Genomic DNA, 13,033 nt, shown 5'->3' on the forward strand with positions numbered 1-13,033 from the left:
AAAATAGGAAATACACAAGTAAGTGTCAAATTATATTAAAGAAGGACTTTTGACTGGGTGTGGTGCTTCACACCTGTAATCCCAACACTTCGGGAGGCGGAGGGGCGGATCACAAGTTGAAGAGATTGAGACCATCATGGCCAACATGGTGAAAACCCGTCCTTACTAAAAATACAAAAATTAGCTGGGTGTGGTGGCATGCACCTGTAGTCCCAGTTACTCGGGAGGCTGAGGCAGGAGAATTGCTTGAACCTGGGGGCGATGAGGTTGCAGTGAGCTGAAATCGCGCCACTTCACACCAGCCTGGCGACAGACCGAGACTGTCTCAAAAAAATAAAAAAAGAAGAAGGACTTTTAATGTCATGATTGCTTTTCTGTGGCATATTCACTGTTCGTAGAAATTTAATTCTTAACTATACAATTAGATCTTAAACCAGATTTTAATATTTGATTCATGAAATTACATTCTTTTTTGCATTCCATCTCAAGCAATTTTTTTTGATACCAGACTCATACATCATTGTTGAAACCTATTGTTCAGTGCTAAAGTATTGGTAGACTTCTGTTAGTGTTTGAAAAAACATGTAATTGCTATTTAAGTGTATGATTTTATAAAATGTATTACAGGTTCTTGCACGCATTGCAAATGCCACGAGGCCAACTATTCATCTGTGTGAGATTGTGAACGAACCCCAGCTGGAAAGACTGCTGTTACTTTTGGTTGGAACTGACTTCAATAGAGGAGATATATCTTGGGGTGGTGCTTGGGCTCAGTATTCCTTAACTTGCATGCTACAAGATATTTTAGCAGGTGTGTTAGGATTTTTCTTCATAGAGTATGTCAAAATTACCTTGTCATTGCTCAACTAAGAATCTTCAAAGGGATCTTTAACCCCTAGAGGGATCTTTAACCCCCTAAAAGCATAAAGGTCTGTTTAATCGGTGTGATGTTATAGCAGTAGCAACCATTGAAAATTACTTTTGTATTTAAGTATATTGATAGTCGCGATAAATGCAAGGCTTTAGAAAGGCTTTGGGTTGTTAAAGTGCATGAATATTGGAGCTAGCCTGCTTTATTATTAACATCAGTGGTATGCTGCTTACTGGGTGGGGAAATCACTTTGCCTCATTTTCTTCATATATAACATAAGGATAATAAGGATAATCTTTGTATAAGGTTGTTTTTATGAATAAGCGTGTTAATGTATGTACAGTAATTAAAATAACTCTTTGTACATGTTATGTGTTTACTGGATACTTGTCTCTAGCATTTGAAAGTAATGGAGTGAGTCCTAGCATTCCTTACGGGGGTGGGAACTCATTTGCCTCAGATTCTTTTATAGTTAGTAGAGCATTTATTCTGTCAGTGACTAAACTGGAGGAAAAAAATGTGCTGTAATACATTTTCGAAATCTGTATAAATTATTAAAACAGGACTATCCCCTTACATACAGGAGAATTACTGGCTCCAGTAGCCGCAGAAGCCATGGAGGAAGGAACAGTGGGTGATGATGTAGGTGCGACAGCTGGTGACTCTGATGACTCCCTTCAACAGTCCTCAGTTCAGTTGCTGGAAACTATAGATGAACCTTTGACACATGACATAACAGGTAAAGTTTTACATTATGTTTCTTCTTTATTCTATTAAATGGAAACATGTTTCAAAATAAAGAATGTTAGAGAAAAATAAAGTTGATTTTTATATTTTTCTATTAGTTCTTTGGCCTTATAAACTAGATCCATTATTTTCCTGGTAAATACATTTTATCTTGGTTCTCATTACAACAAAATGCTATAATTTCATAATATCCTAATTATGTTGATATAGTGTGATTTGGCAACGATGAAGAAAATGCAATGTAGAAAACATGTAAAAATACAAAGTGATGAAGACAGCAGTTTTAAAAGCTCTTATTCTTTAAGATCCAGCATGTGATTTTTTTGGTGTATTTTTTTCTTACTTTTTCTTTTTTTTTCCTTTTTAAAAAGTATCTTTATAAATTAGCATGTATAATCCTTTATCATCTCCATACCCCTTACTTTTCAAAAGTCTGTTTTGGGTACTAATCTGTATATGTCAGATGCTGCAGTCATTTTCAACCATTTGTCATTCCTTAATCTTATGTTTGCTCATGATTTTCTATTTTTTACTTGATATTCTCTTTATCTGGAGTAGATTTCCTGTGTGCACGATGAACACTTCGTTATCGAAGGTTCACATAAAGCGTGCCTTTCTCTAAGAGGCTTTTTCTGTCATTCCCAGCAGAGTTAGGGACTTTGCCATCTGTACTTCCCTTGCGCTCTCAAATATCTCTGCTAGCACATATCATGTTGTAGTCAGTTTTAATTATAGTGCACCCCCACCTCTGAATTTCTCTTAATTTATTGGATTGGAGAGTTTTATTAATCTTCATGTACTTATACTCAAACCCTCATACAGGCTGGCATTTACTAGGCATTCTATAAAGTTATGTTGAATAAGAGGATAGGAATGATGGAAAAGTAAGAGTTATAGAGGGGTACTTATAAGGGTTATAAGAAAGCTACTTAAAAATTTGGAGACATCTGAGAGACAATAATTTCTAATTCATAACAGAAAAATAAGGTAAATGGCTTTTTTTTTTTTTTTTTTTTTTTTTTTTTTTTTTTTTGAGACGGAGTCTTGCTCTTGTCACCCAGGCTGGAGCACAATGGCGTGATCTCAGCTCACTGCACCCTCTGCCTCCTGGGTTCAAGCGATTCTCCTGCTTCAGCCCCTGGAATAGCTGGGATTACAGGCGGCCACCACCACACCCAGCTAATTTTTGTATTTTTTGTAGAGACAGGGTTCTGCCATGTTGGTCAGGCTGTTCTCAAACTCCTGACCTTGTGATCTACCTGCCTCGGCCTCCCAAAGTGCTGGGATTACAGGTGGGAGCCACCATGCCTGGCCGGTAAATGGCATTCTTACAACTTCAGTCCTGTTTGCTTTTCTCTTTAATACTGGGTAACATTACCTGTAATAATGAATTACATGTTAGATGTAATAGAATGTATATTATTTAGTAATGTTGGTAATTATTTTTAATAGCAAAGTTTATGCAACTTACTTCAATAAGAGCTAATACTGTGGTCTTTTCTCTAGGAAAGCAAATATCAATGAATCTTTGTTTTTATCGTGTATTATGGAGCGAAATGTTTGCATACATAGAGTTTTTTTTTTTAGGCATATGTAACATGCAAGTAAAATAACTTTTTTTAACTAAAAGCATTATGTCATCTAAATTTTATGTGATACACTCCACCAATAAGATCACTTTTAATTATTTGAAGGTGCACCTCCTCTGTCCTCTTTGGAAAAAGATAAAGAAATTGACCTTGAGTTACTTCAGGATCTAATGGAAGTTGACATTGATCCTTTAGATATTGATTTGGAAAAGGACCCTCTTGCAGCCAAGGTTTTTAAGGTATGATACATGAGAATAGTCTTTGAAAGGAGGCCGGGCGCAGTGGCTCATGCCTGTTATCCCAGCACTTTGGGAGGCCAAGGTGGGCAGATCACAAGGTCAAGAGATCAAGACCATCCTGGCCAACATAGTGAAATCCCGTCTCTACTAAAAATAGAAAAAATTAGCTGGACGTGGTGGCGGGCACCTGTAGTCCCAGCTGCTTGGGAGGCTGAGGCAGGAGAATGGCATGAACCCATGAGGTGGAGCTTGGAGTGAGCCAAGATCATGCCACTGCACTCCAGCCTGGGTGACAGAACGAGACTCTGTCTCAAAAAAAAAGAAAAAAAAAAATTCTTTGAAAGGGAAGTTTTCAGTCTCATACTTTTGGCTTAGTAATTACTTAAAAGAGGAAAATATACATACATTACCACTAATGCAACTCATTATTCAGCATTTTCAAAATGAAATTGCTATAGGTACTACTATTGTAGTTTAAAAACAATCAATGGAATAGTATAAAGAAAACTTACATTTTTATTAATGTAGCTACTCATAATTATCATACAATAATGAGAACTACATTTAAGTATACAGAAGTATAGTTATAGATCACCAACATTTCAGACAGCCATCTAAACTTCATCCGAGCTGTGTTCATTGCAGAGTCTACTTGTATGTTAGCCTACTTTTTTTTAAAGGAGAATCACCTGTAATAATTTATGGTGGTACAGTTCTTTGGTCCATAAGAGATTTTATTAGGGATGCTACTTTCAGTTTCTAAACATATAAGGTATTTTTAGATTTTGGCAGAAAGTGAGGAGAAAATTACTGGACCATTCTTATAAATCATTAAAATTATAAGGGGATTTGGGAAATTTAAAGGGTGGATAGAATATTTATTTTGTAGTTCTGTTTGGGTTTAGATAATGTAAATAACGTGTCATTCAGCCAAGAGGCAAAAATAAACCACAGTTTTTTTTCCATTCTTTTAAGCCAATAAGCAGTACATGGTATGATTATTGGGGTGCTGATTATGGGACCTACAATTACAACCCTTACATTGGAGGTCTGGGAATTCCTGTAGCAAAGCCACCAGCAAACACGGAGAAGAACGGATCACAGACAGTTAGCGTTTCAGTCTCTCAGGGTAAGTGTATGTTTATATTTTAAGACATATGCTATTCTTAAAACAAGTCTGTCATTTATGTATACTTTGTCCCTTGAGAAGTTGAGCCTGGGTGTATGCCAGTGGGTTTAGTATCACAGCTGTGCCGTGAGTACCATTCAGAGCTGTTTCTTTGTAGTCACTTTAGAGGAACTTCTATCTTTTTGGTTCTCTGTCAGAATAACACCTAGCAAGTGTTGTATGGGATTGGCAATGATTTTAATGAACTGTGCTGTATTTTAATTGTTGACTTTAATAGTAAACTTGTATTTTATTTATAAAGAGAATGAAACTACATTAAATAAGTATTATTTTTGCAGTTTTTTTTTTTTTTTGAGATGGAGTCTTGTTCTGTTGCCCAGGCTGGGGTGCAGTGATGTGATCCCATCTCACCGCAACCGCTGCCTCCCAGGTCGAGGGGCTTCTCTTGCCTCAGCCTCTTGAGTAGCTGGGAGTATAGGTGCATGCCACCAAGCCCAGCTATTTTTTGTATTTTTAGTAGAGACAGGTTTCACCATGTTGGCCAGGCTGGTCTCGAACTTGTGACCTCAAATGATCTGCCTGCCTCGGCCTCCAAAAGTGCTTGGATTACAGGAGTGAGCCACCATGCCTGGCTTTATTTTTACACTTTTTTAGTCATGTAGAATATATGAGATGTGTTTAATTTTTTAATAAAATACATTTTTTCCCTTTTCAACGCTGCTCCTTCTGTTATAAAATATTTTTTAAAAATTTGAAACACACATTTACCAGAATGTTTCAAGTTAAATGCGGAGAATGTTTATTCTCTAGAACCATTTGAGAGTACGTTGGTAATTTGATGTCATTTTTGTTTTGTTTTGTTTTACAAATCAGGACATTCTTCCATATATACATATCAAGAAGTATATTCCCTCAAAATCAGGAAATTAACGTTACTGCTGTCAAATACTGAGAGCCCATTCAAATTATAGCGGTTGTCAAAATAATGTTCCTTATGCACAAGAGCCCAGGGAAAATAATGCATTGCATTTAATCGTCACGTCTCTTTAGTCTCATTCAGTCTGCAGTAGTTCCTCATAGTTGACCTTCATGACATTGATACTTTTGAAGATGGCAGGCCAGTTATTTTGTAGAATGGTCCTCAGTTTGTGTTTGTATGCTATTTCCTTGTGAATAGAATATTGAGTTAATGCATCTTCGAAGGAATATTCCACAAATAATGCTCCCCCCCAACATTTCATTCAATTAGGGTGGCCCATGATTTTGATCTCTCTCATTATTGGTGATGTTAAGTTTAACCACTTGATGAATGAGTTGTCTTCTGGGCTTCTCCCTTGTAAAGTTATTCTTTTCCCCTCTGTAAAAATGTTTTGTTCTCATTGGGTTTTTTGGGGGTACACACATGGTCTTGCTCTGTCACTCAGGCTGGAGTGTAGTGGCATGATTTTCAGTTCCCTGCAGTCACTGCCTCCTAGAATCAAGAAGCAGTTCACCATTTTGACCAGGCTGTTCTCAAACTCCTGAGCTCAAGCAGTCCGCCCTCCTCAGCCTTCCAAATTGCTGGGATTAAAGGTGTGAGCCATTGTGCCCGGCTGCTGTAAAAAGTTTTTTGGGGGCTGGGGAGCAGAATGGTACTCGGAAACTATAACTATCCTGTTCCTCACAAAGTTTCTTTTTGAAAAAATTACTGGCCAGGTGCGGTGGTCACGCCTGTAATCCCAGCACTTGGGAGGCCGAGGCAGGTGGATCACCTGAGGTCAAGAGTTCGAGACCAGCCTGGCCAACATGGTGAAACCCCATCTCTACTACAAATATAAAAAAATTAGCCAGACATGGTGGCGGGTACCTGTAATCCTTGGGAACTGAGGCTGAGGTAGGAGAATTGCTATAACCCTGGGGCAGAGGTTGCAGTGAGCCAAGATCGTGCTGCTGCAGTCCAGCCTGGACGATAGAGCAAAACTCCAACTCAAAAAAAAAAAAAAAAGAAAGAAAGAAAGAAAAAATTACTGTAATAGTTTATTCGTTCAGTTTTGAACGGACTCATGGTTGCCTTTTTTTATTCAGTGAATTATACCTTACCATTTTTTTAAATTGTGGAAAAATGTAAATAACATAAAATTTTTCTTTTTTATTTGTTGAGATAGGGTCTCACTATGTTGCCCAGGCTGGTCTTGAACTCCTGGGTGAGCCCAGTCCTTCAACCCCAGCCTTTCAAGTAGCTGAGATTACAGCATGCTGTACCACACCTGGCAAATTTATTATTTTGACCATTTTTTGTGTGTGTATAGTTCACTGTTAATGAAGATATTCACAATGTTGTCATCTGTTTTTTGATGTTCAGATTGTCTCAAATTTGACCAATAGGATCCCCCTTGAGATTTTCTCATCATTTTAGCACTTCCTTGTTCTCTGGCAAAACATGATAGCCCAGGCTCATCCTTTACTTTAATCTGCCCCACCCCGGGAATTAGTCACTTCTTAAAGGAGCATGGTATTTCAAAACCTTTTAAAGGAGAAATGTGGTTAACAAACCATGATTTCGTCATGGATATATGTGTTGCTATTTTGGGACTGTTTTCATTTCCTCGTGGTGGACAGAGCTAGGGAGTATGTGTTTGTGTGTGCGTGTGAACACACACACTTGGCATCTATATTTCTGTATCTGTCTATCTATTCTGAATATGATGAATTCACATCAGTGTATCTGGATTTAATCTAACTCCATAGGGTTCATTTTAGCTTTCTTCTTGTCTGTATTTATAGCACTTTATTCTGACAGTGAGAAACCTGGTTCTCATTATCCTTAATGTCTTTGTTTCCATTATTGTTACTTCACTTATTTAATATTTCTGTCTCTATATAACCAATCGCCTGTCTCTACCCTCCTTTCCACAGATATTCTTCCCCTGCTGTGGCTCCGATACTGCATGTTAGGTGGCTGTTCTGTAAGAACACACTCTTCATCCTCTCTTGGGTTCAGATGTCATCATTTTATTGTAGGAGGTAGGACATGAGTAATAATTGTCAATGTTTTCTTTTTCTTTCAATTGCTTTTTGTAGCCCTGGATGCTCGCCTAGAAGTTGGACTTGAACAGCAAGCAGAACTGATGTTGAAAATGATGTCTACTCTGGAGGCAGATTCCATTTTACAGGCATTAACAAATACATCTCCTACATGTAAGTAAAATGACCATTTTTAGAGTATTGCAGTGAATGATTCAGCTCTTCATCATTTTCAGGTGGATTCATCAAGGACAGATTTTTAAATTCCATGATGTGAGTCTGAGGGGACTTAGTATGTAGCACTTTCCTGGCTCCGAGTTAGTAGCAAGTTGAAAACTAAGACAAAGGATTAACAAATGCAGAGAGTATCATGCAAAATACTTCCATGTAGTGCTGTCAGTTCAGTGCAGAAACCTCCATTGTGTTTTGTTTACTGTATTGTTGTAAGGTTAATAAAATTCCTACAGAAGCCTTCATACCTGCCTGTGAGTTCATTGCACTATTCCAAATTTATGATGAAGTAGATTTTTTGTAGTAACATCTTTATCATCCTTAAAGACTAGGATAGAGAATATAGTGTAGGATGACAGCCAAATAGGCCTGTTAGTTGAAAGCCAGAATTGAGAGGATTTACTACCTAATAACCTACAGAAAAGAAAGGCCAACTTTTTCGTAAAGGACTAATAGTAAATATTTTAGGCTTTCCTTGCCATATGGTGTGTATTGAAACTACTCAACTCTGACTTGGTTGCAGGAAAACAGCCATAGACAATATGTAAATGAATGGGTATGGCTGTGTTACAAGAAACAGGTAGCCTGCCAGAGCTGGCCATCACATTACGGTTTGTTTTCCTTGATGAGGTCTACACAAGTCTGGAACTGGGTAGACCTCGGAGGAGTACAGTTGAAATAGCACGGTGTTTTTCAAGGACAGATTGGGGAGCTGTGCTTAGAAGAGGGTGCTGGTTTTTGTTTTCTTAGGCCTGCATATTGCTTCACCTTCTCTAGGTCAGAGTGAAGAAGGGGTAGAGATAGTAGGTAGAACCGAATAAAATTACAGATGCTTCTCTTATGGAGAGTTCACAACCCATTTCAATAGAGAAATTTGAGTTTTTACATCTTCCTTATGTTAAATTGAATTCTTTCAGTCTGCAATCTTCATTTGTTTCTTGCTTTAGAGGGTATCAAAAGAAGGGAAAAAAGAAAAACAGAAGGAATGGTCTAGTGTTCTATAATCTCAGTATTGGTACACAAATATTCTTGTATCTTATCTCCCAGGCAATATGGGGATCCCTTTTGTAGGGTCCAGTGTCTGCATGATTAGAGATAACTCGGTACTGCCCAAAGTAACCCTTTTCTTTGTTAGACATTTCTTATTTAAAAGCACTTATTAGAATATCTTTTCGTAATTCTGAAAGGATATTTGAAAAAAAAAAGAATAAAAAAGAAAATCTGTTTGAAATTGGTGTCTCCTCTTTATCTTTTGATTATCCTGCACACAGCTGTCTCTCTTTTTAGTATAATAATAAAATAAGGCTCTAAATATATGATAAAGCTCTTAGTATCCTTGTATTTCTCTGGTTCCCATGAATATATTCTCATTTAATTAGTTTTGTGTGTAACCTGGGCATCAGAACTTCTGAAAGCTCCCCAGATGATTCTAATCTATAGTCAAGGTTAAAGATGAATGAACTAGAATCTAGATTATTCTAAAACTACCTTATCAATAATTAGTCAGGAGTCTTATTTCTTTCCCTTTACTTTCCCTCCTTTATTAATTGGAAAAAAATGCAAATAAAAATTGCTAGAAAAGTTCTTTGCCTTTTTTTGTTGGTTTGAGTCCTATGAATTTGGGAACTTCTCTCTTTGGTCATTGTCTTTTTTACTTTCAAGTAATGTTATAAAAACACGTTTTTCAAATACTAAATATTGTTTTGAACCATTCTAAAGAATGCAGTTTTAATTTTTAAAAACAATTTAACCTATTTATACATATGAATAACCAGTTAACACATATCCTGATACTTTATGTATAAAATTATACTTGTGTTTAATTTTCAGTATCACAGTCTCCCACTGGAACAGATGATTCACTTCTAGGGGGTTTACAAGCAGCAAACCAAACCAGCCAGCTTATTATACAGTTATCATCTGTCCCAATGTTAAATGTTTGTTTCAACAAACTTTTTTCCATGCTTCAAGTCCATCATGTTCAGGTATGACTTCAGGAGAAATGGTGTATTTTTACATATTATTGTTAGCCTGGTAAAAGATGAAACTAATTGGGAAGTTCATTCTAATCCTGTCAGGGATGATTTCTTTATTATATTCAGTTGGAAAAATATTAGAAATACTTTGATTACCAAAGTAATCACAGTTTCTCAATGATGGAACATTGATAATTTTTAAGATTTTTAGCTTCAGTACTTTAATTCCTACTACACATACACACAGCTGTGATTAGAGATTGAATCACAGGGCATGGTGGCTTGAGTTTGTAGTCCTAGCTACTCAGGAGGCTGAGGCAGGAAGATTGCTTAAGGCCAGGAGTTCGAGACCAGCTTGGGCAACATAACACTAGATCCTGTCTCTAATAAAGTAAAAAAAATTAACCAGGTGCAGTAGCACATGCCTACAGTCCCAGCTACTCGGGAGGCTGAGGCGGGAGGATGGCTTGAGCCCAGGAGTTCAAGATATAGCAGACCTTGTCTCAAATAAAAAAAAAAAAATGACTTGAATCACCTGTTTTAATTTAGAAGAATCTTTTTATGAGGTAATTTCTAACATTTAATTCAGGTAAATTTTGTTTCTTCAAGAATTTTAAGATGTGTTTGCTGATCAACTAATTTAATTAACTAGAAGATGCTTTTAAGTGTGAAGAAGTGTTTAATAGAAAAGGTTATTTACTCGTGACAAGAATTTAAACATAAGATTTTTGTTTAAATTGTATTTCATATTATAATAGGTACATTTTTCTCCTGTTGATTTTCATTCTTTTTCAGTTGGAGTCACTTCTCCAATTGTGGCTCACACTGAGCCTGAATTCTAGTTCAACTGGAAACAAAGAAAATGGAGCAGACATATTTTTATATAATGCTAATAGGATACCTGTTATTTCATTAAATCAAGGTAAGATTTATTAGGAGAAAAACATTATAGTCTAAATAGCAAGCTTAAAACGTAATTATTAGGTTAAAATATACCTAATCTTTGTCATTAGGGGTTATAACATTCTAGTGGGGAAAAAACAGAATACCTTTTTAAAAAGATGCACTAACTTACCGATTAGCAGGAAAGATACAGGGAGACCTTGTTGAGAATAGAAGACTCCTACTCTCTGGTCTGTGGTATGCCTGTATGCAACTAAAATTTACAATGTTCTGTTACTCCTTTATATTTTCTTGAAGTTTTGTCTGATCTGTAAAAGCAGGTCAGTTTTTTATTATTTTTTTTTTTCATTTTTTAAAACTATGAGTTAGCCCCTGGAGGAGTTAGTCAGCTGGAGAAGGTGGTCAGTTTCCTGTGGAAGTTGTGTGTGTTTCTTGGCAAAATATGAGTATGGGAATGGTGGTAGTAAAATAATACAACAGGAAAAGAATTAGCGTTCAGCTCTAGCTACAGGAATCTATTTTAGTTATATTTAAAGAAAAATAAAAATGAGAATCTGTTCCTGATGCTTTCTCTCTATAGTGAGGCATCCTGTAGCTTGCTTGGGTCTTACATGGTGTATTTTCCAATGTGAGTGCCAGCTCCACTGAGTCACGCACAGATTCTACTTACATCTGCACTGTCTCAGCACCAGCCAGCCCTTCTTTAATTTATAGGTTTCCATCTCTTCAACTATATTATTATTATAATAAAATTTGTTTTCATCTGTTTTTAATTTTATTATGAGAAATATTAAATATATATAAAAAATAAAAGAGTAAAAAATAGTTATTCCTGGCTGGGCACAGTGGCTCACACCTGTAAAACCAGCACTTTGAGAGGCCGAGGTGGGCAGATCCCTTGAGGGCAGGAATTTTAGACCAGCCTGGCCAACATGGTGAAAAAAATACAAAAATTAGCCGGCTGTGTTGACGCATGCCTATAATACCAGTTTTTCCAGTATCTGTTACTGTTTTCAGTTGCCAGTTTTGTAGAGTGTGAGGATTTTTAGTAAATTGTATTGAAGTAGAAATGCCTATGGTTTGGAAAGTACAACATACTGAGAGTGATAACATGTCATTTCAGGTGTTGTGGGCTGAGCTTTAAACCTTATCCTAAAATGTTACTGATTCTTAATGCGTTAGTTGTATTTAATGGAGAATTCCTTTTATTTGCATGTTTTGAAGACACTGGTTAAGGAGCGGATTTAAAGAAATAGTGTCTTGTTTTTAAATTTATTCTTTTGACTTAGTTCTTCATAAACATTGTTTTTCTGAAAAATATTTTCCCTTTCTCTTTTCTGCATAGCATCAATAACTAGCTTTCTCACAGTGTTAGCTTGGTATCCCAATACTTTGCTCCGGACATGGTGCCTTGTGCTTCATAGCCTAACACTCATGACAAACATGCAGCTTAATTGTAAGTTCATAAATTTATTCATTTAAATCTCTGACATATACTTTAGTGTTCTACTATTGGATTCTTAAAACAGAGTTTTCCAAGGAGTGGTATACTTGTCAAAGTGGTTGAGTTGGCCAGATGTGGTGGCTCACGCCTGTAAACCCAGCACTTTGGGAGGCCAGCACGGGTGGATCACTTGAGGTCAGGAGCTCGAGAGCAGCCTGGCCAACATGGTGAAACCTTATCTCTACTAAAAATACAAAAGTTAGTGGGCGCCTGTAGTCCCAGCTACTTGGGAGGGTGACGCACGAAAATCACTTGAACCTGGAAGGCGAAGTTTGCAGTGAGCTTAGATCACGCCACTGCACACCAGCCTAGGTGACAGAGTGAGACTCTGTCTCCAATAAAAGTGACTGAGTTTTTTCTTCTAACATGTCTCTTCTGAATTAGTTCTTATATATCCTTTGTGCTTGTTTACTTTGATAATATAGTCTCATATGTCTCGTTGGATGTTCAAATCATATTTTTTACCTTTTAAAAACTGATTAAAAGAAAATTGATTGCTTTTAGAGTACAAAGGCAGGTTTTTACATTTCATCTAAGTTTTTATGTTATTCTTTTAAGATACCTTTGTACTTAAAAATGATTTATTCATTATTATATTCATAAACATGCATAACTAGATTCCTGGGTTTTGTTTAATAATTTAAATCATTGCTTAGCTTTAAAATGCTATTATCTTTTTTCATTTGGAATGTATTTTCCAAAAATGAGATCAAAAGCATCACTGTGATACTGAAGGTGGATTTCATGCAAAGGATATTTTATTCATCTCAGAAAACTGTTGTGTTACCTGTACGTTAGTTCACAGTTAACCTGTATACAACTAACATGCAAAAAGGAATAA

The 13,033-nt window shown here is 36.5% G+C and overlaps 1 protein-coding gene across 50 annotated transcripts in view; it reads left to right on the top strand.

The window, feature by feature from the left end:
- Positions 1–13,033, top strand: part of BIRC6 (baculoviral IAP repeat containing 6) — a 261,856-nt gene that overhangs the window by 120,985 nt on the left and 127,838 nt on the right. For all 50 annotated transcript variants that reach the window (XM_006712055.4, XM_005264451.5, XM_047445167.1 and 47 more), the window contains 8 exons: positions 628–811; positions 1,455–1,610; positions 3,313–3,446; positions 4,422–4,575; positions 7,636–7,752; positions 9,640–9,794; positions 10,581–10,707; positions 12,034–12,144. In XM_006712055.4, coding sequence (XP_006712118.1) covers positions 628–811; positions 1,455–1,610; positions 3,313–3,446; positions 4,422–4,575; positions 7,636–7,752; positions 9,640–9,794; positions 10,581–10,707; positions 12,034–12,144 — 1,138 coding nt within the window. The remainder of the gene's footprint in view (positions 1–627; positions 812–1,454; positions 1,611–3,312; positions 3,447–4,421; positions 4,576–7,635; positions 7,753–9,639; positions 9,795–10,580; positions 10,708–12,033; positions 12,145–13,033) is intronic.

Source organism: Homo sapiens, chromosome 2 (genome assembly GCF_000001405.40).
Source record: "Homo sapiens chromosome 2, GRCh38.p14 Primary Assembly".
NCBI classification, from domain to species: domain Eukaryota; kingdom Metazoa; phylum Chordata; class Mammalia; order Primates; family Hominidae; genus Homo; species Homo sapiens.